Raw genomic sequence first — 6,551 nt, forward strand, 5'->3', positions numbered from 1 at the left:
CCCTTTCTTGGATGCACTCCCCTCACAATGTGTCTTTGCTGCCTTTCCCAAGAAAAAGGAGGGGGATCTGATGTGAATTGGCCTGATGTGAACTTGCTTTGCCCAATTGAATGGGAAGGAGCCATACGATCAAAGTTCTGAGATTATGCCTTAAAGAGCCTTGCAGCCTCCTCTTCACCCTCTTATAACTCTACTCTGATACCGCCATGCTAGGAAGAAGCTGGGATGAAGACCAAGTAGAGAGAGGCCCAGCCATTTCTGCTCTCCCTGTTGCCCTGGCTGAACTCAGCCCCATCTGAAATCTGTTGAGTGAGAACTGACCAGCCAACCACAGAATCTTTGGGAAAGGTAACCTGTTGTTTAAAGCCACTAGCTTTTGGTATGGTTTGTTACACAGTAATAGATAACTGATACACATCGTTGAGATTCCACTAGGGAAAGGGAATTTGAAGAGCCTTTGGAATATATGTATGGAAAGGAGCTTTGCCTGTGGAAATTGAATGGAATGGGATGAGAGAGAAGGCTCATCATCTCCAGGAAGTCAATAATAATGGAAGAAAACAGGCACATGAAAGAATGTTCAAACCAAGAGTTAATATTCAAATAGTGAATAAAATGAGAATCATAGAATCAGAAACTCCAGGCCTGGGAGAGCCTTCTGTAACCAGGTGTTTCAGGGATGACAAATAGGTTTCGGTGGTTGCCCACTCGAACGGATTAGTTGTGGCTGCCTGGAGTGCTGTGCTGAGAATGCTGAGGCTTTGTCCATTTTCAACAGAAAGGAGGGCTGTGATCAATTAGTGATGTCTGCCACGGGTGCGAATCTTACTTCAGTTATTCAAATGTGCAAAGCTCTTTCCAGTCTCAGCACATTTTCCCATGCTGCACACTCTATTTGGAATACTTTCCCCACTCCACCACTGTTTTTCTAGCTGGTTTGGAGACAAGATGTCTCTCTGTTGACCAGGCTGGAGTGTAGTGGTGAGATCATAATTCACTGTAAACTCGAACTCCTCCATTCAAGTGATCTTCCCACCTCAGCCTTCTGAGTAGGCAGGACTACAGGCACACGCTACTACACTGGGCTAATTCTTTTTGTAGAGTCAGGATCTTGCTATGTTGCCCATGCTGATTTCAAGCTCCCAGCCCCAAGTCATCCTCCTGCCTCAGCCTCCCAAAGCGCTGAGATTACAGGCATGATCCACTGTGCCCATCCCATCCATTAAGTTTCAATTTTAATGTCACTTCTTTGTGGAGGCCTTCCCTGCCTGAAGCAAACCACTTCTATTAATGTCTCTTGGTTGCATGCCTCATAATTTGCCATTATATGTATGTGTGTATTTGTTTTCTCACCCTTTTCTCACAACACACTCATTTAACAGCAAACTTCCTGAGGAAAGTACCCTGTCTATTTCTTCCCAGCTATTTACCTAGTACCTGGTATAGTGCTGAAGTGGAAGAAGTGCTTAATGCTATTGTTGAATGGCTGATTGAGAGATTGCATGGATACTGAGTTCGGCCATCCTGAGCTAAACCAATTTCCTCTTCTAACCTGGAATGCTTAGGTCACATGCCTGGAACATACAGTCTGTCAAGCTACAAACTCTTAGTTCTGTGCTTTTTCTAAGACATCAGTTCTACAATGCACACAGATTTTGTTTTGTTTTGGTCTGTTTTTGGGACTGAGTCTTACTTTGTTGCCCAGGCTGGAGTGCAGTGGCAGTGGAGTTGCACTGCAACCTCCACCTCCTGGGTTCAAGCAATGCTCGTGCCTCAGCCTCCCTGGTAGCTGCAATTTCAGGCATGCGCCATCACTACCATACCCTGCTAATTTTCATATTTTTAGTAGAGATGGGGTTTTGTCATGCTGGCTTGGCTGGTCTTGAACTCCTGGCCTCAAGTCATCTGTCAGCTTCAACCTCCCAAAGTGCTGGGATTACATGTGTGAGCTGCTGCACCCGGCTCACACAGAGGTATTTTAGAGACTAGAAGCTGCAGGAGAAAGAGGTTGACACTGTGCTGAGAGACAGATTTTGCTGGAGCAGCTAGCCAATTCAGATGCTTATCAACCTACTGACCGGGAGAAATAATAATGTTTCGTCAAGTTGACTTACCAATTTTGTCGCTTTAAGCTCATGTTTGGCTGTGATCTGACAGGTGCTGTTGGTAATAATACCAAGTTGTGGGCATGCAAGAAATGTTTTGTATTGGGCTGTGTCCCTGTGCCCTCAACACAAATAGAATGTTCAGAAGTTGAATGAATGTGTGGGTGTAGCATCCTATATCCAAGGGGGGGATGTTCTAAATGTAATAAGACATTTTTGTGACCCCAAATACCTTTTGAGTATTAATATTTTGAAAAGAAGATAAGTTAAAGATGAATAATAAAGACAGGTACGATATTTTGTCTTACTCTCAAAGTTAAAAGCAGTAAAAATAAATTAATTGACATGTGTCCAAAGCAATCACCTATTTGACATGGGAACCCTTCTGTGTTGTCCTAGAACTTCCACGGATGGCAGACACATTTCACTCTTTGCAAGGCCTTTTCTTATTAAGGATGACCAGTGTTTCCCTGAGGTGACCAGCCTGTTCAACGGGCTACAGAAGAACTGGGGCACAGAGAATGCACTTCCCTTACATGTGCACTGAGCAAGAAAAGAACATTTGGCAAATTTCTGTGACAGCTGGAGTGACGGTGACCATTTGTGGGCTTTAAGTAGTGACAGGACACATTAAATTAATTTTGATATTTTATAAGTTAAAACCTTTTATTTTGTCTTTATGATAAATGTTCTCTCCCTAGCTTTACCCTCTAGGGCAGAGATTGGCAAACCTTTTGTAAAGGAACAGATCGTAAATATTTTAGGCTTTGTGGGCCAGGAGATTTTTCTTGCAACTCTGCCATAGCAGTTTATAAGTAGCCATAGACATTATGTAGATAGATGAATGTGGCTGTGCTCCAATAAAACTTTATTTACAAAAACAGGAAGAGGGCTAGATTTGGCCTGTGGGCTATGGTTTTCCAGTGCTTGCTTCAGGAGACTGGAGTCAGTACTTTTTTTCTCCTGTGAAAGATGAAAACTTTAGTCACTAATTTCCAAAGACTGCTTCTTGCTTGCAAATATGTAATTAATATAAGCAGCAAAGTATAGTAGAATTTCCATGATTTTACATCTACTAAAACAAAAAAGATTAAGTTCATTGTGCCTTTAAAATGAAGGAACAGTATCTAATCTGAAAAACTGTTAAAAAGTTAAAATGATGTATAATTTCCAAATTCTGCTTCTATGCGGCAGCCCTCCTGCATGTGAAATTGTCGAGTAGAATAGCTATTATTTCCCACTGATGAACCACAAATGGGCTGAAGATATTTGCATACCTTTTTACACACAATATATACCAGCACTCTAACCTCTGATTCTTCTTACCAGATTCCATTTAATTTGTCATTAATTAGTAAATTGTTATGTGAAATGCTGCAAAGCTTCTTGGGTAAAATGGCCAGTGTGATGATTATTCTTTTGGAAGCTATCTGAAATTGTTACTACTGAGCAATTTCCATGAAAATAGAAGGGTCTTTGGAGCTGTTCTTTTAAAATAAGAATAAAATGAACCAAATGGGGAGAACACATAAAGGCAATAATAAATCAAGGACAAAAGACAAGAAACTAGTCCCCAAAACAGTATCTAGGAAGAAACTATAGTAGCTTCTTTTTGCAAAGAGTAGGTACTTCTTCAACTTTCTTTTCAAGCTGCAATAAAAACAAAACAAAGTTAAAGCGAGTCCTAAAGTAAACTTTCAGAAGTCCAGTTAGTATCTGCTTTAAGAATCTTCAGGTCTCTGAAAACCTTTATCTAAGAGGGTGGGGAGGGGGGAATCTTTGCCAACTATAGGTCAGTTCTTTCCTTCTTTAAGTTACACCCAGTGTATGTATTTGCATTTATTTTGTCAATTGCAGAATCATTGCTTTGAGTGATTGTCATTGTCTACATCTTTCTCTCTTTTTTCCTTCTTGCTTGCTTTCTTGCTTTCTTTTTCAATTTCCTTCTTCTTTCCCCTTCTTTTCTTTCATTTAAAGCCAGGCAGAATGCACCTTCCTGATAGATGGGATTTTGCCTTCAAGTTGTTTCCAGTGTTTAATTCCTCCTTACTGTTACCTCCGGAACCAAGTCCAAATGAAAGGCGAGCCTCTTTGACCCTCTGCCCTCCCTTTCCTGCCTTCTCTTCTCCTGGGTTTCAATGGTTGATTGAACGGTGTGTTAGGTTCACTGAACTTGGTCTTGGCTTCGGTTCCAAGCAGGGACAAAGTCAGCTTCCAGGCCAATTTCCATATGAAAGCAGCTGAGATCTCTTTCCCCATTTTGGAATTCCAGGCAGCACCCTGGGCTCTGACTTCTCAGATTCAAAGTTCTTGCTCAAATTCCCCCCACCCCCACATTCCAACCCAACCCTAATCTCCTCCCACTTTGGTTTCTCTGCCCACCAGGTTTCCAGGTCTCCCAGCACACTACAGTGGCCCTGAGAGGGCAGCTGTGAACTCAACTCAAGAAAAACTCCTTCACGTTTCTCTGAGGCTGATGGCGTAAGAGAGGGATTTGTTTATTAGGGTTTGAGATGGGCAGGGAGAAGTGGGAGGTCCCACGTAGGACAGAGAGAAGGTGGAAGAGTCAATGCTTGTTAGGGATGAATTTAAGAAAATTATACTTCCTGTTGCCAACTATTTAGGAACAAATACAGCCCCATTAAAGAATTTATCCAGCTGTTTGTAAATTTTGGTTTGAGGTCTTAGGTAAACTGCCTCCAAAATTTCTGCTTTACTTCCAAGATGTGGTTTTGCCAAACTAGAAAATGACAACAAAAAAGATGTTGCCTCTTTCCATTGCATTTCTTATGTAAGCAAATGGCCTGTTTGGACCCTTAAAAATGCCATTAGCAAAAATAGTATCCCCAAGCTGGAAGGAACTCAGGAAGGCTGTCTCTATTTGAAAGCCACAGAGATGTGTGTGGGTTGACAAACCATAACATCACTCTCAAATCCTCATCCACCTTAAACCAGAAGTTTAAGAAGTTGCTGGTGGCCAAATCAGACTCTATTTATTTACTGGCTTGTGTTAATATCGGTGCCTTGATTTTTCCGCTCGAAAGTCTTTCCAATCTTAATACCTGGTCACATTTCAGTTCTGTTCTGAACAATGCTTTGCTTCTTTCTTTTGTTGGGGAGTAAGGCACAGTGATTTATAGACTGTGCCTTACAATTGGTGAGACAATTGCTGTTATTGTTTTCGTTGTGTCTCCTAAAAAATGTCACTTTTATAGCAGGGCACAATTGTCTAGAAGACTATAAATATTAGTATCATTTGGACACCGCAAAGTTGTCACAGAATTCCTGCCATGGATATGAGGACCAACATGTTCATGTGCATAAAGAATGTGTGTGTGTACAAGCATGTGTACATCCGTGGGTTTTTATGCTTGTTCCCATATACATGAGCAATGTATATGTGTGCATGTGGTATATTTTCAACTGTGCGCATAAGGGTGTTTGGGTATGTATGTGTATGTGTTGGTGTGTGAGATGCACATGAATTTGCACATATGTGCATTTAATTTGTAGAAGTAAGTGGGTTGTGTGTCAGGGAGTGGGTGAATGTGCAAATCAGTAAATGGAGTGCTGCCAGAAAGAACTTGCTTGGTCCTAGCAGCCAAAGGCTTTCAGGACTCTTTGTTATAGTCGCATTCCCGGCGGGCTCCAAACCTCAGACTCTGCCTGGAGGTACAGTATGCTCTTCCGAAAGCAGAAATTATTGAAACACAGAATGTCTCCTAAGTTGTGCTGGCCAGGTCCCCAAGAAACAGTCTGGACATCACTGCAGACACAGCCCCTAAGCAAAAACACATGTGCATGTCTCTGCCTCAGAATATGATGGCCTTTAAGGAAATGGATCTCTGTTGAAGAATGAAGGAAGAAAAAACTGAATCAGCCCCACCATTTGCAGTGAAGGTGTCTGGTGTCATTTATTTTGCTGACCAAGTATCTTCTCTATGGATTATAATAAAAATAAAAATAATCTTCCCTTGTTTTATCTGCAGACACTTTATTGTCCTGTATGTGGCCTTAGCAATGAATTCATACACAGATGGGTGACAACAAGGAAAAAGAGTTTAACTATTTTGGCAGTGTTAATATTGATCACAGAACAGATTAAGAGACAACTAGGAGAAATTTCTTCATGGGATGAAAATCTCCCTCCTTCCCCAAACTCCTGAGACAGCCAGCAGTAGTAGACAGCATCAACATTTATCAATGCAACAATTTCAACTCTTGAGCAAAAGCCTCCCATCTCAGAGATTTTGCATCTAACAAATCACTGCATTTTGTCCTTAAATTTATCCTGTGGCAACATTTTGGCAGGATTGTTGGACTGTGGGATAAGAAGACGAAGAATTTTCAAGAAAGAGTTTCCCACCCCCAACTGCTGCACACTGAGCTGCATTGTCCAGGGAGAGGTGGTGATGATTAATTGTGCCCAGTTCCCTAGGACCCACT

General features: G+C 41.6%; 1 annotated feature.

The window, feature by feature from the left end:
* Window positions 836-1,336: an enhancer, noted in NCBI's record as "H3K27ac-H3K4me1 hESC enhancer chr2:119073511-119074011 (GRCh37/hg19 assembly coordinates)". NCBI's record gives its function as "activates a minimal SCP1, AML or CMV promoter by ChIP-STARR-seq in naive H9 embryonic stem cells {active_cell/tissue: H9 hESC(naive)}" and the evidence as "EXISTENCE:reporter gene assay evidence [ECO:0000049][PMID:30033119]".

Source organism: Homo sapiens, chromosome 2 (genome assembly GCF_000001405.40).
Source record: "Homo sapiens chromosome 2, GRCh38.p14 Primary Assembly".
Classification (NCBI taxonomy): domain Eukaryota; kingdom Metazoa; phylum Chordata; class Mammalia; order Primates; family Hominidae; genus Homo; species Homo sapiens.